The 25821-nt window shown below is 47.2% G+C and overlaps 2 protein-coding genes across 9 annotated transcripts in view, besides 2 other annotated features; one reads left to right on the forward strand and one right to left on the reverse strand.

Moving 5' to 3' along the window:
- Nucleotides 1–856: 856 nt before the first annotated feature.
- Nucleotides 857–16128, reverse strand: C22orf31 (chromosome 22 open reading frame 31). 4 transcript variants are annotated; one of them, NM_001386866.1, is made up of 3 exons: nt 16062–16128; nt 2600–3028; nt 857–1367 (listed from the first exon to the last, which is right to left on the reverse strand). In NM_001386866.1, the coding sequence occupies exons 2-3, from the start codon at nt 2906–2908 to the stop codon at nt 927–929; spliced, it is 750 nt and encodes a 249-aa protein (NP_001373795.1). In that variant the 5' UTR covers nt 2909–3028; nt 16062–16128; the 3' UTR covers nt 857–926. The 4 variants fall into 4 exon arrangements, with proteins under 4 accessions (NP_001373795.1, XP_016884230.1, NP_056185.1 ...); XM_017028741.2 differs by lacking the exon at nt 16062–16128 and adding an exon at nt 4097–4203; NM_015370.2 differs by lacking the exon at nt 16062–16128 and adding an exon at nt 3975–4016.
- Nucleotides 4386–5153: an enhancer, noted in NCBI's record as "NANOG-H3K27ac-H3K4me1 hESC enhancer chr22:29458189-29458956 (GRCh37/hg19 assembly coordinates)". NCBI's record gives its function as "activates a minimal SCP1, AML or CMV promoter by ChIP-STARR-seq in naive H9 embryonic stem cells {active_cell/tissue: H9 hESC(naive)}" and the evidence as "EXISTENCE:reporter gene assay evidence [ECO:0000049][PMID:30033119]".
- Nucleotides 14909–15238: a silencer, noted in NCBI's record as "silent region_13583". NCBI's record gives its function as "represses an Ori minimal core promoter by ATAC-STARR-seq in GM12878 lymphoblastoid cells {active_cell/tissue: GM12878}" and the evidence as "EXISTENCE:reporter gene assay evidence [ECO:0000049][PMID:35858748]".
- The window catches only part of KREMEN1 (kringle containing transmembrane protein 1), a 95299-nt gene continuing 84697 nt past the window's right edge, over nt 15220–25821 (forward strand). For all 5 annotated transcript variants that reach the window (NM_032045.5, XM_011530429.3, NM_001039570.3 and 2 more), the window contains exon 1: nt 15220–15412. In NM_032045.5, coding sequence (NP_114434.3) covers nt 15316–15412 — 97 coding nt within the window. In that variant the 5' untranslated portion in view covers nt 15220–15315. The remainder of the gene's footprint in view (nt 15413–25821) is intronic.

Consider the following 25821-nt stretch of genomic DNA (forward strand, 5'->3'; position numbering starts at 1 on the left):
CAGAGTCTCACTCTGTCGCCCAGGCTGGAGTGCAGCGGCGCAATCTCGGCTCACTGCAAACTCCGCCTCCCAGGTTCAAGCCATTCTCCTGCCTCAGCCTCCTGAGTAGCTGGGACTACAGGTGCTCCCCACCACGCCCGGCTAATTTTTTTTTTTTTTTTTTGTATTTTTAGTAGAGACGGGGTTTCACCATGTTAGCCAGGATGGTCTCGATCTCCTGACCTCATGATCTGCCCACCTTGGCCTCCCAAAGTGCTGGGATTACAGGCATGAGCCACCGCGCCCGGCCATCCACTTTATAAAAATAAGGAACCATATGGCCAGGCGTGGGAGCTCATACCTATAATCCCAGCTATTCAGGAGGTTGAGTCAGGAGGATCTCCTGAGGCAGGAGTTGGAGACCAGCCTCAGCAACATAGTGAGACCCCATCTCTCTACCGAGAAAAAAAAAAAGCTATACGTGTTGGGGTCCAAATGTAGTCTTAGCTACTCAGGAGGCTGAGGCAGGGGGATTGCTTGAGCCCAGGAAGTCGAGACTGCAGTGAGCTATGATCATGCCACTGCACTCCAGCCTGGGCGACAGAGCTGTCTCAAAAGAAAGAAAAGGAAGGGAAAGAAGGAAGGAAATAGGGAACCATAGCCTGAATATAAAACATCTGCTTTATCTGTCAGGTCTTTTCCTACCTGGAAGACTAAGAGACTCTCAAGGCCTTGGAGGAAAAATATTCCAAGCATCTACCCTTCAAAATTACCTAATCATGAGTGGAGAGGGACCCTTGGTCTTCAGTGAATCTGGTACCTCTTTGTTTCCCCTGAGAGGGTGTCGCTAATTTGTAAAGCACTCTGCGATAACACGGAAGGTGCAAAGTTGTGTTTATTTTTCAGATCTCTAGCAGAGAATACTCTAATCCCATGAGTTCTTGTTCCTATTTTTTGCTCTTTAACTTGGGCCATTTCTTGAGTACAGGCTCCTCGTGGACACCTGGCTGCTTCCTGCCAGGGAACCGGTCCCTCTGAGCACCTTCAGAGATGGCACCCTGACTGCAAAGAGCCTCCCAGAGCTTTTGTTTAATGGCCTTGCCCAGCTCCAGGCTGTACCTCTTGGGGGTCCCTGAAGGATTCCACAGCATTGGCTCCACCACAGCGTGGTACAGAGCCTGGTAACCCTCTGTGGGGAGACCATGGATGGTTAGCGTGTCCTCCGACAACTGCTGTCTCTTTTGGGTTTCAGGAAGCAACACTCGGCCCTTCCAGGCTGCTGTCCCACTGTCCTGGGGTAGCGCTTGGGTGGCAGCCACATGTTCAGCATATCTGTCCTCAAGATCTTGGCGGACTGTTAGTTTTTTCTCCTTTGAACTTTCTTTACTCTAGCCAGGAAGAAAGCAGAGAAGTCAAAGCTAAAACTTGAGAGGGGAGCTCAGAATAATTATCTGGGATTTGTGTCCCAGAGTCTTGGTTACAGCAACAACCAACATTTGTCTAGCATGTTCTAGTTTACTGAATTCCTTTATGTACATACCACTGCATGTGTTCCCCATAACCCTGTGAGGTCAGCAGGAGACAACTTTATAGGCAAAGAAATTGGAATTGGTTTGCCCAAGGCCACACAGCTAGAAGGTTAATAACAGCTGTCATCTATTGAATGCCACGCAAGATCCTAATTATTTACCCTCTGCCAGGCTCTGTTCAAAAGCCTTTTGCATGTATTATTTAACATTCATGAAGCCCTATGAGGGAAGGGCCGTTATCCCCCATTTAATATGATAATATCAAGGCACAAAGAAATTAAGCCCGAGGTCGTCCTCAATTACAGTCCGAGTTGGGATTTGAACCCTGATGGCCTGCTGGCCACCACGGGGTAACATACCTGGATTCCAATCAGGCCTTCGTAGGCCAAGTTCTCCATGTGGACGCTCACAATCCAGATCCATAGCTGACCACTGGTTGTGTGTGTGTGTGTGTGTGTGCACAAGCATGCACTACCCATATCCTAGCCTTCCTTCTCACCCTTATTTTTCCTTCATGTCAAGTCTGTGCTTATGAAAGCCACCTCATCCTTCTCTAGAACTAAGCATAGTGTAAATGATAAATAGCATGACCCCAAAATCTGGGGCATTCTTCCACTCTGTCATGCTACACCTCCTCCCCACATTCTGTCTTCAACTTTAGGATTTCCTTCACTTGGTATAGATCTTTTTTTCTTTTCTTTTTTTTTTTTTTTTTTTTTTATTTTTTAGACAGGGTCTTGCTCTGTTGCCCAATCAGGAATGCAGTAGTGCAATCATGGCTCACTGCAGCCTCAACCTCCTGGGTTCAAGTAATCCTCCCTCCTTAGCCTCCCAAGTAGCTGGGATCACAGGCATGTGCATCATGCCTGGCTTTTTTTTTTTTTTTTTAGTAGAGATGAGGTCTCCCTATGTTGCCCAGGCTGGTCTTGAACTCTCTGAGCTCAAGTGATCCTCCCTGCTTGGCCTCCCAAAGTGCTGAGATTATAGGCGGTAGCCGCACGCCATATAATCTCAACCGTTAAGTGTTCTCTGGCTTTACCTTTTCCCTCCCCTCGCCAGTCACATTTTCCCCACCACTGGTCCTCGTCTACCTCTCTGATGCCTCCTGCAGGCCTCCTATGCCCTGCTGGCTGCTTGCTCTTGGAACTGATGAAGTTTCTTTTCCTGGCCTGCTGGGTGGCTTTCATCACTGAATCGTCCTTGTGCTTTAATCTCTTCGAGAGTTTTCCTTCTCCAAACTTGCATGGTGGTGGGCAGCACTTATTCTTCAGTTGCCGCCTGAGTACAAGCTTAACCAGGGAGAAGGAACTGGCAATTAATGGGTTCCTTACAACTTCCCAAGAGGAAGTGGTAGCTGGTGCTGGGGCATTAATGTTCTGCTTTGCACATGTTCTGGCCATCCAGATGTTGGTGAGAGCCGGTGAGTCCACATAGCAGTCCTGAAGCCTGGTATTTAATAAGATGGACTGTCGGAGTCCATAGATAGGGATGCTGGGGTCTCGTCTCACATTGATTGGGTGCTAGAATTATAAGGAGGGAGAAATGAATTTTAAAAGGACCGTTCTTCAGCAGAGAATAAAAGGTCTACTTTGAAGGCAAAATATTAACATCTTTTTATAGGCCATTCCTTCCACCCAGTTCTTAGAAATTTACTATATGTCCTCTCCTGTTCACCAAAGCCTTTTATACCAAGTAGGGAGGAGATAGTCACTCCACAAGGTTACAGTAATATTCAGGCTCTCAAAGAACATAGCATGCCAGGGCAGGAAGTCGGGGGTCAGGGAGGGTTCACAAGGAATTGAAGACAATTCCTGCCTGCTGGAAAGATACGGACGGCAGGGTCACTCAAGACTTCCATATGAGCTGTAGACACTCAACCATGCTGCAACACAGACATGACAGCCGGTAAGTTCTGCCAAGCCCTGAATACGCTTTACACTTTCTTTTTTTGTGTGTGGGGGGGACGGAGTTTAGCTCTTGTTGCCCAGGCTGGAGTGCAATGGCGTGATCTTGGCTCACTGCAACCTCCGCCTCCCGGGCTCAAGGGATTCTTCTGCCTCAGCCTCCGAAGTAGTTGAGATTACAGGCATGCACCACCGCACCCAGCTGATGTTGTATTTTTAGTAGAGACAGGGTTTCTCCATGTTGGTCAGGCTGGCCTCGAACTCCCCACCTCAGATGATCCGCCCGCCTCAGCCTCCCAAAGTGCTGGGATTACCAGCATGAGCCACCATGTTCGGCTGAATACACTTTCTAACCAACTGCCATGCACCAAGAAGAGCTCATTCACAGGGAAATCAATATACTCTGGGGACCATAAAAGCAACACGAAAACATTAATGCTGCCGGCCTCCATTTCCTGGGACCAACTAAGAGCAACAGAACAATTTGGATAGATTAGAATCACATATTTAAAGAGATCTGGCTTTCTAAGAAATGTCATCTATAGAAATAAAATCACCTTACCATATTTCAGTTGCCTTAAATTTTATTTTCGCTAGCTTAGTAAGGGGAAGAAATATGTATTTTCTCTTTCCTTTTTCTCTCTCTCTCTTTTTTTTTGTTTTTGTTTTAATATTTCTAGTCACCTGTCTTTCTCTGCCTTAGTCACATATGGGCAAATTGCTGTTTGTTTAGATGTGGGCTCAATGCAGGCAGCTTTGAGCCATTATCTCTAGTATTTGTGATGTCACTTTGGTTTGTGATGTGGGTGTGGGTGGGTGTTACATCATCAGATTTTATAGTTAAATTATGTGGGAAGAAGTTCTATACGGTTTTGCTTCTAGCCTCAGAAACTTCTGAAGTCCTCATTTCCCCCAAAATGGCTTGGATGAATTTTGAAGATCTTCATGTTCTTAAGAAGTATGTTTTGCAGGAAATGTAGTCAAATATGCAGACCAGATTTGGGGATATGGGTAGTGAGATGCATCCCTACATGTGCAAAAGTGCCCTCCTTCATGTACATAAAGGAGGCACTGTTAAGTTCTCAGAACAGCTGCCAAGGTTAGGGACCAGGAATGAAAGAACACGTTCCTGCAGACCTGGGCACCTTTCCCTGCATGTCTCTCCCGGGAAGACTACATGGTTTCTGGAATGTGGGTTTCTTTTACATCCCATGGCAAATGCAGTAATTAGAGCTGTTAGCAGTGTCAAGGGCTTGAAAGGAGAACAAAGCCGCCTCTTCCTGGGAACTCTTGGGCAATGCCTCACTGCTTATCAGGTGCTCGTCCTGTTGGTGGGTTTGATTCTTTTATTTGTAAAATGCCTCAGGAGCCTCCCTCCTGAGGGGGAGGCCAGTGAAATGATGGAAAAACAGAGTATGAATCTGGCAGGGGCTCCTGGAATCGCATGTGTTGCCTGCTTGCGTTTTTAAGTGTTGTCCCTGGAGTGAATCAGAGCCTGCAGGCGGACCGCACCACAGGCTGTGGTGGAACCACCTCCAGGCCTATGGCAGCTGGACCCACAGACAGTTGAGAGGACAATTGCTCCCTTTCAGTGGCGAGCCCTGGCCTCACCTCCTAAGAGCTGGGTCGATTTTAGAGCAGGGCTTTGGAAAGGGTTTGTCTTTGGGAAGAGTTTGCGAATGTCTGGAGACTGGGCAGGCAAGAGTCTTTTCAAAGCTGGTCAGTCTTGGAAAAATGGCACCGGGCTCCTGGGCTACCTGGAAATTACCATCTGTCTTTACTCTGCAAAGCAGGGACAGGAGGGAAATGTCAAGCAAAAAAAGGCATAATAGGAGTAGGTCATCTGTTTCTCTTTTCTCCTTCTCCATCTTGAGTTTGGCTTTCCTGCACCTCATCTTTCCACACACTCATCCGTTAGATTTACTCTGCTAGGTCTTTTACTCAATGACTCTGCTTGGTCTTTTACTCACTCTGTCCCCCAGGCTGGAGTGCAGTGGTGCGATCTCGGCTCACTGCAACCTCCGCTTCCTGGGGTTCAAGCAATTCTCGTGCATCAGCCACCCAAGACGCTGGGATTACAGGCGCGGACCACCAAGCCCAGCTAATTTTTGTATTTTTAGTAGAGATGAGTTTTCACCATGTTGGCCCAGCTGGTCTCAAACTCCTGGCCTCAAGTGATCCACCCACCTTGGCCTCCCAAAGTGCTGGGATTACAGGCGTGAGCCTGTGCTCAGCCTCAATCTCCTTCTTCCAGCAGAGAGCTGTTCACATGGGCAGCACTTGATACATACTCTTCAAGTTCTATCAAATTCTGCCTTCTCTGCCTTCATTGTAACTCACTTCAATTGACTATGCCACAACAGGTAACCCTCAGCCTTCCTTAGAACTAACCCAGGGTACTTTGTTCTAAGCTATTTCTCCTATGTCAATAAAACTAATATTTATTGAATGCTTCCTGAAGGCCAGGCACTGTTCTAGCCACTTTATTAGCATCATGTCATGAAATGCTACCAACCATCCTATGAGTTTGAGCACTGTTCCCTGTTTTACAGATAAAGAAACTGAGGCACAAGTTGCTCAAGTATCATGCCTCAAGTAACCAACAAAGGCTGAACCCAACCAAAGTCTATACTGCCCTTGTTTTTGTTTTTGTTTTTGAGACGGAGTTTCACTCTTGTCACCCAGGCTGGAGTGCAGTGGCACGATCTTGGCTCACTGCAACCCCCACCTCCCAGGTTCAAGGGATTCTCCTGCCTCAGCCTCCCAAGTAGCTGGGATTATAGGCACGCACTATCATGCCGGGCTAATTTTTGTATTTTTAGTAGAGATGGGGTTTCACCATGTTGGCCAGGCTAGTCTCAAACTCTTGACCTCAGGTGATCCACCTGCCTTGGCCTCCCAAAGTGCTAGGAATACAGGTGTGAATCACCACACCCAGCCCTACTGCCCCTGTTCTTAAACACTCACAGTTATCACCGTGATGCCTGGCCTCTCTGTTGGTCAGCCCATCCATCTACCATACCCGGGCCCAGTTCTAGTCCTGTCCTTGTCATGAGACTTTCTCTAGGCCCAGGAGGGAATCTGCCTGTGATGGCATCCCAGATCCATCTTTCATTAGGCAAGTGAATTCATACCCCTGAACCTTAATTTCCTCAGCTGTGAAATGGGCCTAGTCATACTGCCTACCTAAGGGTTATTGTGAGTTTGAAGTGGGACAATGCATCTGAAATACTTGGCATGGCTCCTGGTGTATATAGTAAGCACTCAATGAATATTTGCTTTTTTGTGTTTTTGTTTTTGTTTCAAGACAGGGTCTCAGTCTGTCACCCAGGCTGGAGTGCAGTGGTGTGATCACGGCTCATGAGAGCCTCGACCTCCTGGGCTCAAGCAATCCTCCCACTTTGGCCTCCCAAGTAGCTGGGATCACAGGCTTGTTTTTGCCCAGTGATTTTTTTTTTTTTTTTTTTTTTTTTTTTTTTTTTTTTTTTTTTTTTGTAGAGATGAGGTCTCCCTGTGTTGCTCAGCTTAGTCTGGAACTCCTGGTCTCAAGTGATCCTCCTTGGCCTCCCGAAGTGCTGGGACTACAGCTGTGAACCAACACACCTAACCCATGTGAAAGTTATTTTTTACTTATTTATTTTTTTGAGATGGAGTCCCAATCTGTCACCCAGGCTGAAGTGCAATGGCACATTCTCAGCTCACTGCAACCTCCGCCTCCTGGGTTCAAGCAATTCTCCTGCCTCAGCCTCCCGAGTAGCTGAGATTACAGGTGTGCACCACCACGCCCGGCTAATTTTTGTATTTTTAGCAGAGATGGGGGTTTCACCATGTTGGCCAGGCTGGTCTCGAACTCCTGACCTCGTGATCTACCAGCCTTCACCTCCCAAAGTGCTGGGATTTCAGGCGTGAGCCACTGCGCCTGACCATGTGAATGTTATTAATATTATGGTCCATTTACTCATCTGACCCTTTCTTGAGCTCCTGTTGCTCATGGTCTAAGTGATGTAATGCAACATTTGATATGATCTTTGTCTCAGGTCATTCATGTACATCAATCTGGTTTATGGCCGGTGTGGTGGCTCGCACCTATAATCCCAGCACTTTGGGAGGCTGAGGCAGAAGGATCACTTGAATCCAGGAGTTCAAGATGAGCTTGGGCAACAAAGCAAGACCCCATCTCTACAAAAAAGAAAAAGAACAAAGAAAAAAAAATCTAGTGTATGAGGCCAAGCAATGAGCCTCTTGGAAGTAGGGAAAGTTTCTGATCTGACTTGGGTATCAGACTTTCATGATCCATCTTCATTATATATTTGTCAGATCGATTGACCTCACAGAAGTGTTGAATGTAGAGGAGCTACATCCCCTGGTTACGGGAGTTGTTCAGAATATTCTATGCTTTGTTAAACGGAAAGGGAAGCAGGTAGCTGAAGATAAGATAAGGAAGTGGTTAGTCTTTAGCAGAGATTGTCCCATCAAAGGCTGTTTAGAATTTTAAAGTCAGGATGGAATGACTACTTGGTCCAGGGTACTAAAACCATGGCAAGAGTTTCCATCATGGGTGCCAGCACTTGATCTGGGGAACTCGGGGTTGAAGCAGTAGGGCTTCCATGTTGCTGAAAGACCTCTTCCTTAGTTTGATTCTCCCATGAAGCTTTTTTATTCTGCTGAGCTCAGTCTCACTAACCTTTATTTTCCACCCATCATTTGGAGCTGTGCTTCCTGACATATCTAAACCACCGCTTCTATTTGCAAACACATCTGTCCTTCTTTGATGTTTAGCCAAACTTTCCTCACAGTATTTTTAGCTCGTATAATCTTCCTTCTTCCTTTTTTTTTTGTCTTTCCTTTACTACGACCTTTCTTCTTTTTAGCTTCTCTTAGCTCTTATTCTCCTTCTGGTGGATCAGCTAATAAAGAAGAAATTGAGTCAATTTCTATTAATTCTTGTCTTCCACCTTTATGGCCCTGCCCCACCCATGCAATTCTAGTGGAATTTAGTTGCTTTTAATTTCCTCAGATGTTTTTGTTTTAACACCCAAGCAGTAAACTTCCATACCCATGTGGGAACATATCTGAGGTTCATGATGCAAAAGAGAAACACTTTGGATGGGAAAGAATTGGAAAAGATTCCTGAACTGTGATGCAAACTCGGAGGACCAATGATTTGGACCACATGTGCTGAATATGCACCAATCATGGGCCAAGTATGCAAAATAATGGTGTCCTGTGTGCCTTCCCACCAGTTCTCACCTGACTCCCGCAGATGTCCCACACTTCCTCCTTTCTTTCTTTCTTTCTTTTCTTTTCTTTTCTTTTTTTTTTTTTTTTTTTTTTTTTTTTTTTTTTTTTTTGAGATGCAGTCTCGCTCTGCTGCCAAGGGTGGAGTGCAGTGGCACGATCTTGGCTCACTGCAACCTCCGCCTCCTGGGTTCAAGCAATTCTCCTGCCTCAGCCTACTGAGTAACTGGGATTACAAGCACTCACCACCATGCCCAGCTAATTTTTGTATTTTTAGTAGAGACAGGGTTTCACCATGTCAGCCAGGCTGGTCTTGGACTCCTGACCTCAGGTGATCCACCTGCCTCGGCCTCCCAAAGTGCTGGGATTACAGGCGGGAGCCACCGCGCCCAGCCAACGCCTCCTCAATGCTAACCCAAACCCTACTGTGAGTCTTCAGAGGTGCCCACCTGGATGCCCCACAGACAACTCTAACTCATTATGTTCAAGACCAGAGTCTTTCTCTTCCTTCACCCCCATCAGAACAAGCAAATGACTGCCTCTCTTGAATTTCCCATGACTAGTTGTCTGAGCCAGAATCCTGGGAGACTCAGTAATGATACAGTGCAGCCTCAAACCCGAGGCTGAAGGAAAATCGGGAATACAGATCCTATCTTCATTTAAAGCTGGGACAGTCTGTTCATAATGGATTTTTTTGCATTCATTTAGATGTTAAAAAATTATTTTAAAATATTGCATTAAATACTATTTACTAAATATATTTATTAAATGTATAAAATATCTATTAAATAATATTTATCTTGATTACTGGATTTTTTATTGTGTTTTCTAAAAATCCTCTTAAACTCTGTGCCTGAGGCACATACTTCACTTGCCCCATTCCAGTCCCAGCTCTGGACCACTCAGTAAGCATTTGGTGACAGAAACCTATTATTTTATTTTTTATTAATTATTATTATTAATTTTCTTTTTTCTTCTCTTTTCTTTCTTTTTTGACACAGACTCTCGCTTTCTCGCCCAGGCTAGAGTGCAGTGACATGACCTTGGCTCACTGCAACTTCCACCACCAGGGTTCAAGTAGCTGAACCCTGCGTTAGCCTTCCAAGTAGCTGGGATTACAGGCATGAGCCACCACGCCCGGCTAATTTTTGTATTTTTAGCAGAACTGGGGTTTTGCCATATTGGCCAGGCTGGACTCGAACTCCTGACCTCAGGTGATCTGCCAGCATCGGACTCCCAAGGTACTGAGATTACAACCATGAGCCACCGTGCCCAGGCTATTATTATTAATTTTAGAGACAGGGTCTGGCTTTCTTGTTGCCCAGGCTGGGTTGCAGTGGCTGTATCCTCGTTCACTGTAACCTCAAAATACTGGGTTCAAGAGATCCTCCCACCTCAGCTTCCCGAGGTACTGGGATTACAAATGTGAGCCACCATACCTGGCCTAATGACAGAATAAGGAGGCATCAGGTACAGTAGCAAGCATCTGTAGCCCCAGCTACTGAGTCTGAGGTGAGAGGATTGCTGGAGCCCAGGAATTCGAGGCTGTAGTGTGCCATGATTGTGAATAGTCACTGCAATCCAATCTGGGCAACATATCAAACATATCAAACCCCGTCTTTTTTTTTTTTTTTTTGAGACAGAGTCTCACTCTTGCCTGGGTTGGAGGACAATGGCACTATCTCTGCTCACTACAACTTCTGTCTCCCGGGTTCAAGTGATTCTCCTGCCTCAGCCTCCCAAGTAGCTGACATTATAGGCGCATGCCCTGACACCTGGCTAATTTTTATTTATTTATTTATTTTTTACAGATGGGGTTTCACCATGTTGGCCAGGCTGGTCTCGAACTCCTAACCTCAAGTGATCCACCCGCTTCAGCCTCCCAAAGTGCTGAGATTACAGGCACGAGCCATCCTGCCCGGGCTCAAGACCCTGTCTTTAAATTTCTTTTTTTTTTTTTTTTGAGACGGAGTCTTGCTCTGTTGCCTGGGCTGGAGTGCAGTAGTGTGATCTTGGCTCACTGCAACCTCTGCCTCTCGGGTTCACACCGTTCTCCTGCCTTAGCCTCCTGAGTAGCTGGGACTACAGGCACCTGCCACCATGCCCGGCTAATTTTTTGTATTTTTAGTAGAGACGGGGTTTCACCATGTTAGCCAGGATAGTCTCGATCTCCTGACCTCATGATCTGCCCACCTCGGCCTCCCAAAGTGCTGGGATTACAGGCGTAAGCCACCGTGCCCGGCAAGACCCTGTCTTTAAAACAAAAAAGACAAGGAGGTGGCTCAACCTGGTACTTTTTTTTTTTTTTTTTTTTTTTGAGATGGAGTCTTGGTCTGTCTCCCAGGCTGGAGGGCAGTGACACGATCTCGGCTCACTGCAACCTCTGTCTCCTGGGTTCAAGCCATTCTCCTGCCTCAGTCTCCCAAGTACCTGAGACTACAGGCGCCCGCCACTACACCTGGCTAGTTTTTGTATTTTTGTAGAGATGGGGTTTCACTATGTTGGTCAGGCTGGTCTTGAACTCCTGACCTTGTGATCCTCTTGCCTCGGCCTCCCAAAGTGCTGGGATTACAGGTGTGAGCCACCACCCCTGGCCCAGCCTGGTACTTGTGAGGGTAAGACTAGGGTTCCACTGCCTGGGTTCAAAGCCCAGCTCTAACACGATGTCACCTTTGGGCAAGTCATTTAATCTCTCTTTGTTCTGGGGTGGGTGTGGGGCTGGTAAGAATGCCTCCCTCATAAGGCTACTGGGCGGATTTTGTGAAATGCAACCGTAGACACCCTGCATAGCCTTAGTCAAGTCTGCAGTAAACATTTGCTATTGCTGTCATTATAATCAGGCCCCCTCCTCCAGGGCTCTTTCCATAAAATGACTGCCCTTTGAGCAGAAATCATCCCAACTGGAGTTTCAAAGACAGTTGAATGACCCAAACTCCAACATTGTAGGTCTCCTGGCTTCTTGGCCAATCCTGCTGCCCTCGGAGGAAGAAAGGGGCCTTACTTGCACAGTGCAAACAGACAAACGGACACCAACATCTTTCTGGAGGCCCAGGAGCTGCATTCAGTGTCCTCACTCTTTCCATGAAATAAAGCTGCTAAACACCCCAGGCATGTAAAGCACTGAAATGAGTATCCCGGGTTGCTCTCTGCCAGAAGCCAGGACCACAAAAGACCTTGAGCTGTTAAGTGCCATGACCTAGACGTGCTGGGCTGTATTTTTAGCCTCTTGTGCACTGTTTCCATCACCTGTGCTGGGCTTTCAGCTGGAAAAGAGAAGGTGGGGGTGGAGAAGGTTAGAGGGATGTTTTTCACTGCAGCCAGTGCCAGGAGGAGCTTGCACACAAATTTCTGAGTCCTGTTGTACAATAGGACCATTTTCATGGGCGTGCAACCTGTATATCAACATAGGCCCCCTTGCTTGGAAGGGCCCCACACATGCTTTATCTTTTCATCTTCTGCTGTCACTGTCTTGAAATTCTTTTTTTTTTTTTTTTTTTTGAGATGGAGTCTTGCTCTGTCACTCAGGCTGGAGTGCAGTGGCACGATCTTGGCTCACTGCAACCTCCACCTCCCAGGTTCAAGCAATTCTCCTGTCTCAGCCTCCTGAGTAGCTGGGATTACAGGCACCTACCGCCAAGCCCGGATAATTTTTTGTGTTTTTAGTAGAGATGAGGTGTCACCATGTTGGCCAGGCTGGTCTCAAACTCCTGAACTCAGGTGATCCACCTGCCTTGGCCTCCCTAAATGTTGGGATTACAGGCGTGAGCCACAGCGCCTGGCCTGTCTTGAAATTCTTAATAAGTTTGGACAAAGGACATACATTTTCATTTCTCACTGTGTCATGCCAATTATATGGCTGGTCCTAAGCAGTGTACATGACAGAGAGAGCCAATTGGAGGAGGGGCTGCTGCCAGCCCAGGAGGGGTGCCTTCCCGCAGCAGGCAGGACAGACCAAAGCTACTATCACAAGGCATGGCTGCCCAGACTTGGCCAAATAAACTTTGTTTCCAACCTCCTGGGTGCCCTTCCTATTTTCTCCTCTGAAACCTGAATGAGATGCAGAAAGAACCTTGTGAACTGGAGAGACCTGTGTCCTGCTTTGCTGAAGTCTTTCTCTGGCATCCTGCTTAAAGTAGTCCAAAGGTTAGCCAGGTGTGGTGGCATGCCTCTGTAGTCCCAGCTATCCAGGAGGCTGAAGCGGGAGGATCACTGGAGCCCAGGAATTGGAGGCTGCAGTGAGCCATGATCTCACCACTGCACTCCAGTGTGGGCGACAGACGGAGGCCCTGTCTCCAGAAAAAGAAAAAGAAAAAAAATCCACAGAACATGTGGTCAACATAATTTTCTTGTCTTTGCAGTACTTTTTGTTCTTCGGAATTTGTGTGTTTTCAGGTTGACTAGAATGTAAGTTCCAAGAGGAAGGTTTGGTCTTGGTGGCTGTATCCTCAGCCCTTGGCATGTTCCTCGCTGAATATTTGCTGAACGAAGGAAAGTTCGACTTTATTGAGTGTTTGCTTTGGGCTGAGAGCTTCACCTGCATCTTCTCATTTCATTCTCTTCAAAGGCACTGCTGTCTGGGAGGGCACAGAAGTCCTGGAATAAGGGTTCTCAGGTCCGGTGGAGAAGGTGGGAAGGGCCCAAAATTGTGGAAAAGGGGAAAGCTGGACAAAAGTGGGGATCACCGGTGGCAGGAGGTGGGGGGGGCGGTCCCCAGGACCGAGGCTGGCTGGGTGAGGGGATGGTGGGTGCCCCTAAGTTCCAATAAGAGGCCCAGAGGATCCTTGAACTCGGGAATGACACATGAAAACAATAACTGAACAAGATTCTTCTTGCTACAGCGCTGAGTCGTGTGGGTGGAGAGGGACAGAGATCGAGAGGCCTCGTGGGAGGTAGCTGCGCCCTTGGGGCCCGGCCCTGCGAGCAGCCGTGGGTGGGGAAAGGAGTTTGGGGGTACGCGGGCTCTGGGAGTGGATAAGGGGGTGGCGCCCGGGGGTTGAGGGGGCCCAGGGGCGAGTGTACCCAAGGCGTGCCGGTCCCGCCCAGCCGCGCTCTGGGTGCGGCGAGTCTGCACACTGGTGCAGATGTTCCCGCCGCCGCGCCGGGCGCAGGTCTGCACTTGCAAGCCCGGGACCAGGGACTTGAAAGCGCCCGGCGCGCCGCCTGGACCTGCCCCGCCGGGCGTCACCGCTGCGCTTTAGGCGGGAACTGTAGGAAAATCCCCTCTGCCTGGCGGGAGGGCGGGGGAGGAGGACGGCCCACGACCGACCCCGGGTGCGGCAGGGGAAGACCTTGCCGGGGTCGGGGCGGGGGGAGGCGGGCAAAGGGCCTACCACGCTGGGGCCGAAAGTTTAAGCAAGCCGCGCGCTCTCTGATCCCTAACATCCCAGGCTGTAGGATAAGCAGTACTGTCTCATCCATTTCTGGACGTTGCGTTGGGCGTTTTACTTGCTTCTATCTCATCGAATCCTCTGAAGGCCTTTTATTATTCCTATTCTGCAAACGGCTGAGCCTCAGACAGATCAGGAAAGTTGCCCTGGTTGAAACTGGCTATGTGATAAGATACGGAACCAGGGGTCAGTATGTGGCTGCAAACTTGGGGTGGAGAAAGAAATTCAACATTTGCTGAACTCCTACTCTGCGTGCGTAAAAGCTTCCATGCTTTCGTTTTGGTTTTTTTTTGTTTTTGTTTTTGTTTTTGAGACAGGGTCTTGCTCTGTCACCCAGGCTGGAGTGCAGTGGTGCGAAGAAGGCTCACTGCAAGCCCGACCTCCAGGGCTCAAGCGATCCTCCTGCTTCAGTCTCCTGAGTAGCTGGGACCACTGAGTTATTTATTTTTTTCTTGTAGAGATGGGGTCTCGCTGTGTTGCCCAGGTTGGTCTCAGAATCCTGGGCTCAAGCGATTCTTCCGTCTCGGCCTCCCAAAGTGCTGGGATCACAGGAGTTGTTAGCCACCGCACTCGGCTGTAGGCATTCTTATTTAGTGCAAGCGCTCTGAGGAGTAGCAGCTATTATCACCTCCATTTAACAGATGAGGAAATTGAGGTAAGAGCTATTTTTCCTTTAAACCTGTCCAAGGTGTTACATGTGACCAAGTGGGATGTGAACTCTCCAAAGCATTCTTTTTTTAACCATTACGATGAGCTAAGCAAGGGAAAACAGTTTGCAAACTGCTGTTGTAATTATTACCGCTGTAGCTGAGCTCGCGCGTGGGTCACGACCTAAGTGAGGGTGGAGCAGGGGTCACTGGGAGCCCGGCCTATTTCAGCCCGGCCAAACCGCTTGGTGACTTGGAGGCCGGGCCGAGGCCCCGCCCCTCACCTGCTGATCCTACCCTTGGATGGGACAAACAGAGGGCCCTGCTGGGCCGGCCCAGGTGAGGCGAGAGATGGGCGGGGCCTGATGCGTGAGTGGCAGGAGCAGCGCGCGGCCGGGGCGGGGCGTGCGTGCGCAGTGGGCTCCGCCCCCCGGGCCTCTCCGCGGATCCGGGCGGGCCCCAGGCTGCAGGGGCGGTGGCGGCGCTGAGCTGGGCGGGCCGGGGCGGGGCGGCCGGGCGGCCGGGGCGGGGCTACACTCGGGCCCCGCGTCCTGCTCCCATGGCCGCCCCCGGCTCCCCGCGCTGCCCCCTTTACCCCGGGCCGCGCCCCGGGGCCCCGCACTGACGGCCCATGGCGCCGCCAGCCGCCCGCCTCGCCCTGCTCTCCGCCGCGGCGCTCACGCTGGCGGCCCGGCCCGCGCCTAGCCCCGGCCTCGGCCCCGGACCCGGTGAGTGTGAGCGACCCCCCGCCGCCCGCCCTGAGCGGAGCCCACTCGAGGGGCGACAAGGGCCGGCCGGCCTGAGAGCCCCCTCCCTCCCGCTTCAGGACCTTCCGGGCCCCTTCCCCTCGCCCCTAGGCGACGCCCCTCAGGCCGGGATGGTCCCTTCCTGGGACCCGGGCTACCCCCAGGCCCGTCATCGACGCCCCCGGGCCCGGTACTGTCCCCCGGCTGCAGGACCCGGTGCTCCTCAGCGACGCCCCTCAGCCCAGGAGGCCCTCTCCGCCTTGAGTCTTCCAAGACCCTCTGCGACGCCCCCCGGGCTGGGACATCTTCTCTGTCTCGGGATCTGGGACCCGCTGCCCGAGTCCCTCAGCGACCCCAACCAGGCCGGGACGCCCCCTCTCCCCGGTACCTCCTGGGATCCCGTCCCAAGTCCCCAGCGACTTCCCCCGGGCCGGGACGTCCTCTGCTCCCCGGTACCTCCTAGGATCCCGTCCCAAAATCCCCAGCGACTCCCCACGGGCCAGGAGGCCCCCTGCTCCCCGGTACCTCCTGGGATCCCGTCCCCAAGTCCCCAGCGACCCCTCCCGGGCCGGGACGACCCCTGCTCCCCAGTACCTCCTGGGATCCCGCCCCAAGTCCTTCATCGACGCACCTTGCACCGGGACGACTCCCCCGCTACAAGAGGCTATACGCCCCTCTCCGAGACCTCCAGCGACATCCCTCCCCTGGGCCAAGGTCCCCTCCCTGAGCCTCACTGCGACGCCCCCGCGTCCCCCAGTCCTCTCCTCCCGCCTACACCGGTGGAACCCGGCGCCTCCCCGCGCAGAGCAGAGCGGAGGCGGGAGGAGCCGGCGCTCAGCCCCTTTTCCCGAGTCCTCGGCTGCACCCGCTTGGCGGACATTATAACTTCTGCCTCGCGAGGAACGGGATGGACTTGTTCGCCCTGCTAGAGGCAGGTTAGGGTCCTGGGACGACCTTGTACCCAGACGGACGGGACGTGCCCTCTCTCTCCGCTGGGCCGCTTTGAACTTCCCTATGACTCAGGTGATGGCGCAGAAGGGGGAGAGAAAAAAGGAAGCAGTGATGGGAAACTTCTCCCCAACTGAGTTTAGGGTGCTCTTCCTGAGGGTGCAACGCCGAGCTCCGTGTTTTGGGTCAGCCCACACCTTAGACAGGTCACTCACTACCCAGGCCAAGGCCAAGGCCAGGTCTTCCCGAGGTGAGGCCCTGGACCAGGATGAAGCTTGGCTTTTGCTTAACTTCCACACGCAACCTTGTAGCCGAATCCTTTCTAAGTGGAAGAGAAGGCAAGAGGGCGTTGCATTTCTCTGCAGGCTGTTTGGGTGTTGAGCATAGGCCATTTGTGAAAGGGATGGGAAGAGTTTATTACCAGTCTGCAGGAGTAGGAAAACCCGCCTCTGGGTTCTCCACCCAAAGTCACAGACTGATGTTGGAAAGGATGGGATTTTGCTGGTGTAAGAAAACTCAGAGTTGCTTTGTTTACTCATTGGCTTGGATTAGCGAAAAAGCTAGGACTTGGTGTTGTCACTTACTGGGTGACTTTGGGCCATGCCTTCAGCTCTCTGAGCCTCAGTTTCCTCATCTGTAAAGACAGGATAACTTCTTTGCAGAGTGTTGTGAAGATTAAATGATATACTGTAGGTAACATACCCGCATATAGGAGGGAGTCAATAAACATATTTTAATAATACTTTTATAGGGCCTCACAGTTCATCGAGTGCTAGACACCTCATTTACCCTGGGAATGCTAAGAGCTTTCGGTCTGATTCATTTCTGTAAAAGGCTAAGCTTGGCTTTAAATTAGTAGAACTGGGGTCTCCAAGTGTTGTAAACCTGAGGCTCAGTAAGTGGTTTCTGAGTGATCACCGTCTTTTATGGGACTTCTACAGTATGATCACTTCTACTGTTGTGAGGAGTGAGGGACATTCCGAGAGCCAGGATATGTCAACATGACTGTAACCTGGTAACCCCTTAGCTCCACTTTGCTATCTGTGTGGTCAGGGTTTAATGTCCCCTACAAAGAGAGAGGTATGGGTGGAAATAGACTGGTTCCCCTTCTGGAAAGGGCAGAGCAGCAGCTCTGATTTGCATCAAGTGAGCCAACTCTCCTTAAGCTCGTTGGAAGCTAGTCTCTTCCCAGATATCTTTGCTTTTTTAAGGTCAAATGCAGCATCTCTTATCAAGTTTGCACCCCAAATTTTGGTGTACTTTTATTTAGGAGTCTGGGGTAGGGGCAAATAATCGTTGTGAAATAATTTGTGATAAGTGGCCCAAGTTCCCAACTCACTGAGCCTTGCCAGCTTGGTGCCTTACCGTCCTGATAACTCAGTGCTTTGCTTTTTTGACTTTTCCTGTCTAGTTGCAGAAGCAATTTTAGGGAGATACCCCATGGTCTTCACCAACACATCCTGTCTAGATCCTACTCACTAGCTTTTAAAATCCTTCCCAATAAAACACACACACATACACACACACACATACACACACACACTTTACTCTGAGGATATGCCAAACTTGCCATTTTATATTTTTTGATACTGTAATTTTCTCTAAAATTTTGTGGATGGAAAAAATTATTTCAATATTTATATTCTGCACAATTTTGTAATATTTAAATTACTGGTGGTTTGCATTTTTGAATGCTGACTTTATAAAAACAGTTAGCTCATTCCCCATCAATCCTACTTCTAATTACAATGTGTAGCCAACCCCAAATGATCTCCCTTCTTTTCATTCTTCCTCTAAGATTCTCTTCCTTCCTTCACAACTCATAAGAAGGAAAGTAGAAGGTAATGGAATCTAGACTTTCCTTCAAGGAGGAGTGCAACCAGGGCCATGTGGTCGAGAGGTTCTCTGTAGTAGGTCCCATCTGGAATTTATGGAATTTATGGTCTACTCACTTGAGTATTTTACTACCTTTAGGGTCTATTAGGTGCACATCAACAGAGCTTCTCCACTCAGGTTATGTTTGCTGTGAATACCTTTTATAAGTTTATAGACTGATGCTCATTCTCCTCTACCTCCTCATCTGGAATTTGCCCCACTAGCCAGTAGTGTGTTTGCCCTAAAACCTATGAGTTCAGTTAACAGCTAGAGCTTCATACTGTCTACCAATTCTTGGTTCTCTTGGGGACTTCATTAATGCTAATAGAATTACCTGTAAGCGACATGGGGGCTGAAGCAGTGAAGGAGTGAAGGGTGCATACCAGTTACTTGCATACTCTGAGTATTTTAAGAAACACCATTTCGACCTGCTATCAAAGACCTCTGATATTTTTGTGAAAATATACTTTAGTCCCTAGACAAACCATTTAAATCTTTGAGGCCGGGCGCGGTGGCTCACACCTGTAATCCCAGCATTTTGGGAGGTCAAGGCAGACGGATCACCTGAGGTCAGGAGTTCAAGGCCAGCCTGGCCAACATGGTGAAACCCCATCTCTACTAAAAATACAAAAAATTAGCCGGGCATGGTGGCACGTGCCTGTAATCCCAGCTACTTGGGAGGCTAAGGCAGGAGAATCGCTGGAACCCAGGAGGCAGAGGTAGCGGTGAGTTGAGATCACACCATTGCACTCCAGCCTGGGCAATAAGAGCAAAACTCTGTTTCAAAATAAACAAATAAATAAAAAGTATTTGAGATAGGCAATGAGTCCCTTTATAAATCTTAAAGCAAGAAAGCATTCCTTTTAGGCTCACTACTCATAAACAGAAAGTTGATGCACTTCTTGTATATCAATACAGATATTATTGATAAACTCATGGTTTAGCATAGTTAGACCAAAAGCAATAAATGAGTAAGATAAAATATATTGCTTTAAATAGCTTCACAATATACAGATTAGGGATTTTTGGTGATGGGGAATATACCATCCTTAGTTTAGAATTTTTGAGTCTGGAAATGTCAACTGATAATCTAGGTCAGGTGTGGGCAAGCATTTTTTGTAGAGGAAGACAGTAAATAATATGAGATTCATGGGCCTTATACTATCTGTGTTGCAATTATTCAACTCTGTAGGGCAAAAGCAGCACAGACAAAAGACAAATGAATGGGTGTGACAGTGTTTCAGTAAGGCTTTATGGACACTGAAATTTGAATTTCCTATTTTTATTTATTTTTTTAAAGAGACGGAGTCTCACTCTGTCACCCAAGCTGAAGTGCAGTGGCGCAATCTCGGCTCACTGCAACCTCCGCTTCCCGGGTTCTAGCAGTTCTCCTGCCTCAGCCTCTCAAGTAGCTGGGATAACAGGCATGCATCACCATGCCTGGCTAGTATTTTATTTTTAGTAGAGACGGGGTTTCACCATGTTGCCCAGGCTGGGAATTTCCTATAATTTTTATGTTAACAAAATATTGTTCATTTGATTTTTCAAAACTAAAATATTTTTAAAATTATAGATTTTTTAAGTCTTAGCTTGTGGGCCATACAGAAACAGGCAGTGAGCCAGATCTGGGCCACAGGCTGTGCTTTGCTGAGTTCTGTTCAAGGTCCATGTCTTCTGATTTTTTTCAGTGTTCACTGGTCTAGAAAAGGTGAGAAGGAGGCTTGATTTTGGTGAATGAATGAAACTTTTACCATTTACTGTTAACTAACTTTAAGATACATATGGGAGAAATGGTTAAAATGGTACATTTTATGTTAATATTTTACTACAATTTTTTTTTAAAAAGATACGTATGGGGAAAAGTTTGTGCACGTACATTTGGGTCTTTAATAGGACTTTTAGACCAGGTGCAGTGGCTCAAGCCTGTAATCCCAGCAGTTTGGAAGGCTCAGGTGAATGGATCCCTTGAGCCCAGGAGTTTGAGACCAGCCTAGGCAACATAGTGAGACCCTGTCTCTGTAAAACCCTGTCTCTACAAAAAATAAACCAAAATTAGACAGATGTCGTGTAGTCCTAGCTACTCAAGAGGCTGAGGTGGGAGGATCACTTGAGCTGGGAGGTCAGGGTTGCAGTGAGCTGAGATTGTGCCACTGCACTCCAGTCTGGGCAACAGAGCAAGACCCTGTCTCAAAAACAAACAAACAAACAAACAAAAACACCTTGAAAATGTCCTAAAGAGAAATTCAGCATGGTTCAGTGTACACTACATAAATAGTGCCTGCCTTGGAACTGGCCTATGGTTTGTTCAACTATGCCTGCAGATGTTGCTTAGAACAAACCGTTGAGAGATCTATTTCTCAGAGGAAAGCCCAGGCAGCAGGTGGCACCAGCCCTGACACAGAAAAACAGCCAGGAAAAAAAAAAAAAAGAAGAAGAAGAAGAAAACAAACTTCTATGACTTTCCTAACCAGTTAATTTTTATGTCCATGGTTCTGTTGTCATATTTAAAGTCGTTTTAAAAAATAACAATGTGCTTAGCATAGCTGATTATTTTGTTTTAATTAAAACATTTCTGAAAAAACAAAATGAAACATTCAAACATACCAAGTTGATTGTGCTTGTACTGTGGAACAGTTAATGCAAAACACTTGAGAGAGGCCGGAAGTTTGGATCTGTAGTTTTGCCTTGAGTGTCTGCCGCCTGAATAAGGACAACATAGGAGGAAGTGAATGTGTCCCTTAGAAAACTACCTGTATAGGTTTGAAGTGAGATCCAGCACCCCCAACGCCACTTGGCAGGTTACCTTCTGGCCGGCTCACTGGGCAGCCTTGTCATTGGTGAGAATGATGACTGACATTCCTTCTATATTCAGTTTGACCTTGAGAATCCAGCTGGAACCCGTAAGTATTAGTCTAGGAGGAGCAGTCTGAGGTCACTCTATTTTTCCTCCCTGTCTTATCTTCATAGTTGTCCTCCCAAGATGGCGGTGCTTCCCTCAACCCTTACCTCACCTTCTGAGACTTTGTCTGTATTCAGACTGATGAGGGAAAGGAAAGAGGCCATCGCAAAAAAATGTCAGATTGGCGTCCATACACCTCACAAATAACTACTCCACAGAAACGTGACTTCTCTTCTAAGGGAATTCCTTCCCCTCCTTTTAAATTCTCTTTCTAGGTAAACACCTTCCTAGCCTGCACTTGTACCAGTTTAAAGAGGAATGAATGAATTGGGGTGCTAGGGAGCACCTTGGCAGACAAAATGTTTTAGGCCACCTCACACGCAAAGTTGCCTCTCTCCCTGCATTTATACAACAGGGCCCTCTCAGAGCTACCCCTCTGCCGGGCCCAGCTTCTAGCTTCCCTTGCCACGGATTTAATCTCTGGCAAGTAGCCAAAGCATTAAACTTTTATTGTTCAATTTGCCACAAGGGCGGGGCCCTGCTTCTAGTGGGCTGAGGAGGCTGCAGCTGCTTCCAAACCCAAGTGTCACACCACATTAGCAACTGCAGACTTTGAGGGCTGGATTTCTTTCAGTTTGGTTAGATTCTTGGTTAGAACCAGAACGGTATACTCACACACAAAATTTTAAAGCTAGGAAATAGTAAAAACAGTGTAGGCAACTTTTAAAGGTGATTCAGAGCGGCTGTAGCTATCAGCGTGTATGATTGACTCTGCGTGGTTTCTTCACACCTTCCAAACAGACATATTAGATGGCTGTACATGTGCCTTAGTGTCCTAAAGTTGGAGGAAAACATGGCAACCAAGTAGTTCTCTTCTAGACTAGTAGGGATTGCTAACCAATCCCATCACAGTATGTAAATTACTTGCTGTTGTTCAATCTATAAAAATTCATCTTCAAAGAAAATTATTGGGCTGGTAAAAATATTTTTAATAATGACCACAGAAGCCATATTTGTTTTTCTTTGATGTTCTTCCGAAGACCCTTCTGGTTCTAATCAGATTGTTCCCACATAAAATACAGTGGAAATCTACAATAATAAAATCCCTATTCCTATGTCTATGGGGAAATAAACAGGATGGGGACTGTCCTTTTAAGGGGCTTTCCCCTTCCCTTTCCCCAGACTCAAAGCCTCTATTACTGGTGGGTGTTTTGGCATCAGTTAAGGGCCTTCAATCCTTCCCTCCCTCCATGTTTTGCTCTTTCATTAAAGTGTTTCTGTTGTCTAATTATATCCTTTCAATCAAATTAGAGACTGTAGCATCTGGTGAGGGCTGTAACTGCTGCCATCTGCACCTCGTCTATACAGGCCTTTTCAGCTGAGAATCACTCAACTTCCAAATGGCAGGAAGAGATTTGGAAAAAGTTTAGTTGGAGGGGAGATTAACTTAAAAGGAGTGTCTTCAAAGGCTGGGTGCGATGCCCTGCTTGCTGTGATGTGTGCATGGCCAATGCAGAGCTTCACTGGCCTGGCTCACCAAAGATTCTTCCCTAGCGCTTCTGGCAGATGAAGGGTTTTTGGTTGTCTTAGCTGAAATGACTAGGCCTTCTTTGTTAGGGGCTTGGAGGGGGCCAGGGGCTGAGCTGAGAAAGTCTCCCTTGAGAACAATCTTTAGTTATATGACCACTGGTTAATGGGTGTGACACTTTCTGTTTATTTGACCATTTCTTCTAACTCAGTGATTTCAACTGGAGGAGATTTTGCCCCCAGGGGACATTTTGCAATACTTGGAGACATTTTGGCTGTCACAACTAAAGAGGTACTACTGGCATCTAGCCGGTAGAGGCCAGGGATGCTGCTGCTAAACATCCTAGAATGCACAGGAGAGCCCCCACGCCAAAGAGTTATACAGCCCAAAATGTCAGTAGCACTGAGGTTGAGAAACCCCGTCCTGATTGTATTATTTTTTTGTCCTTTTTTTTTTTTTTTTTTTTTAGCGTCAAGCTTTCCTGTTACCAGCAATGAATTTTTTTTTTTATACTTTAAGTTTTAGGGTACATGTGCACAACGTGCAGGTTAGTTACATATGTATACATGTGCCATGTTGGTGTGCTGCACCCATTAACTTGTCATTTAACATTAGGTATATCTCCTAATGCTATCCCTCCCCACTCCCCCCGTCCTTCTTTTTACTGTTAGTTGCCTGCCTAGGAACAGTTGATTCTGATCAGCATCTTTTTTCACTCTTAAGCAGATTCTTCATTATCCACATCTAACCTCTTTAAGCATTTCTGTGGACAGTGTTTCAGAAACCTTAATTCAGTAAGGGGGTCTGTGATTCACTGTGTCTTTTTATTCTCTCTAGAGTACAATTGTCAGATACATTACAGGATGCCCAATTAAGTTTGAGATTCAGACAAACACCAAATAATTTTTAATTAAAGTCTGTTTCATGCAATGTTTAGGAATACTTGTCTTAAAAAATTCTTTGATGTTTATCTGAAATTCAAATTTAACTGAGAATTCTGTTTTTATTTGTCAAATCTGGCAACCCTAATCGAGCTTCATGGAACACTCCATGAAACTTTAAAGCTTTGACAATCAGAATTAATCTGTTGGCCACTATTTGCTCTTATTCTTATTGCTCCAAGTGACCAGAGATGATGGTTCCATCTACTTATAAATGAGTGTTACACTGAGCCTTTCCTTCTGCCCTAAACTGTCTCCCTGGCCAGAACTTATGAAACCCATCTCTTGAGTCATATTTTTATGTTGGGACCAATTAACAAGTACTTATCAAATTCCTCCTGTGTGCCCAGCATCTCTGATTAGGACTTATCCCTGTGCCAATTGACAGAAGGCTACAACTTTGTTGCTTCGAGTTTTACTTTGAAATGTGCTCTAGAGATATATGGTCTACCTGGTATCAGCTCCCCACTCAGGAGCTCTTATATTATTTGTCTATCCCATATCAGCCAAGGGAAACTGAAAAGCCCAGAGTCTGGCTTCCATGGAGTATTGGCTGCCCTCCAGGACTCTATTATTGGGGAATTTTCTTGCCATCTGACATTAAAAATAGGTCACAGGCATTACTAACAAAACTTGTCTAGAAGCTGGATTATATCCAGTTGACCTTCAGACAACATGGAAAAAGGTTGCTCAAGTGATAGTGAGGCAAGGCGTAGATTTGAGCTGGGTGCCTCCTGCTTAAAGCAAACTAAGAATATAAAATTCATATTTTTATTTTATTTTATTTTATTTTATTTTTTAGATGGAGTCTCGCTCTGTTGCCCAGGCTGGGGGGCAGTGGCACTCCTGGCCTCAAGTAATCCTCCCACCTTGGCCTCCCAAAGTACTGGGATTACAAGGGTGAGCCACTGCACCCAGCCCCCATCCATTTCCTTTAAATAGCAGAGTCCCTGGTTTAAATAGCAAATATTTGATTTCCTTGATTTACATAAACTTGTACTTGATTTACATGAACTTTCCTAGAACTTCTCATAGGTATTGCTAGGTAAGTCTTGAGGCTGGCCTAGGAGGAATACATTGGTGAGGAAACTAATGCACCCTGAATGTATCTGTAATGGAGCTTTCCCCTAGCCCCTCATTCACCAGCTTCCCTCTTTCAACAGACACTTAGCCAGGCACCTTCTATGTGGTCTGTAGTTGCTGAGAATACAAAGGTGAGTAAGATGCTCACAGGCTATTGGAAACAGGGCTATGTGCTTCCTGAGCAGTTACACTTCAAGGTAATCAAGTCCTTTAAGAGCTGTGGCAGCAGGCACTGTGACTTGTTTCAAAACCTCTGGTTTCTATAGAAGTTAGTGCTACCTATTCTAGACCCTGAGCCTTCAAATAGTTCGCCTTTTGTTTTTGTGTTTTCTTTAGAGCTGGCTTATAATGAGCTGAGGTATTGTCCATCAGCAAGCTGAAGTTTCAGCTTTAAAATATCTCACGTTTCCTGTATCCTTATGTGAAAACTTTTTTTGAGACAAGGTCTCACTCTGTCACCCAGGCATGATTACAGCTCACTGCAGACTCAAGACAGACCCTTGCCCCAGCCTCCCGAGTAGCTGGGAGGTACCTGCCGCCACGCCTGGCTAATTTTTAAAAAATATTTTTTGTAGAGACAGCTTTTCGCTATGTTGCCAAGTCTATGAAAACTTTATAGTATGAAATTTTATTTCAAGATTCAGGAAGATATTTATGAATAAATATCTAAGGTAGATTTATTTGTGCTCACATATTACATTGAGAGATAGATGCTTTACATCAGCAAAGTATAATAGAATATATTCTATTGGTATTGGAAGTAAAATCCATCAAGGTGCTTTGGTTAATAAATGAAATATTTTTCTTAGAGTTCTGCTGAGTCAGTGACTTTTGACTATTTGAATGAGTCCATTCTTTAACTGAAGTTTAATCTCTACATATTATAGACCTGAATGCTGATAGGTTAATGGACATTTTTTTCTCAAAAAGTGTCTTTTGGACTTCAATTTGATGGTTGTGATACGAGAAAGGGGTCCTGATCTAGACCCCAAAAGGGGGTTCTTGGATCTTGCATAAGAAAGAATTCAGGGGTCCGGCACAGTGGCTCACGCCTGTAATCCCAACACTTTGGGAGGCTGAGGCCGGCGGATCACTTGAGGTCAGGAGTTTGAGACCA

Source organism: Homo sapiens, chromosome 22 (assembly GCF_000001405.40).
Source record: "Homo sapiens chromosome 22, GRCh38.p14 Primary Assembly".
NCBI classification, from domain to species: Eukaryota; Metazoa; Chordata; class Mammalia; order Primates; family Hominidae; genus Homo; species Homo sapiens.

What these genes read in the sequence shown, in the direction of transcription:
- C22orf31 (NM_015370.2), bottom strand. An exon ending in CTGCAGGAGGCATCAGAGAG is followed by an intron (nt 1,368 to 2,599) that starts GTAGACGAGGAC and finishes CTTCCTGGCTAG; the next exon opens with AGTAAAGAAAGTTCAAAGGA.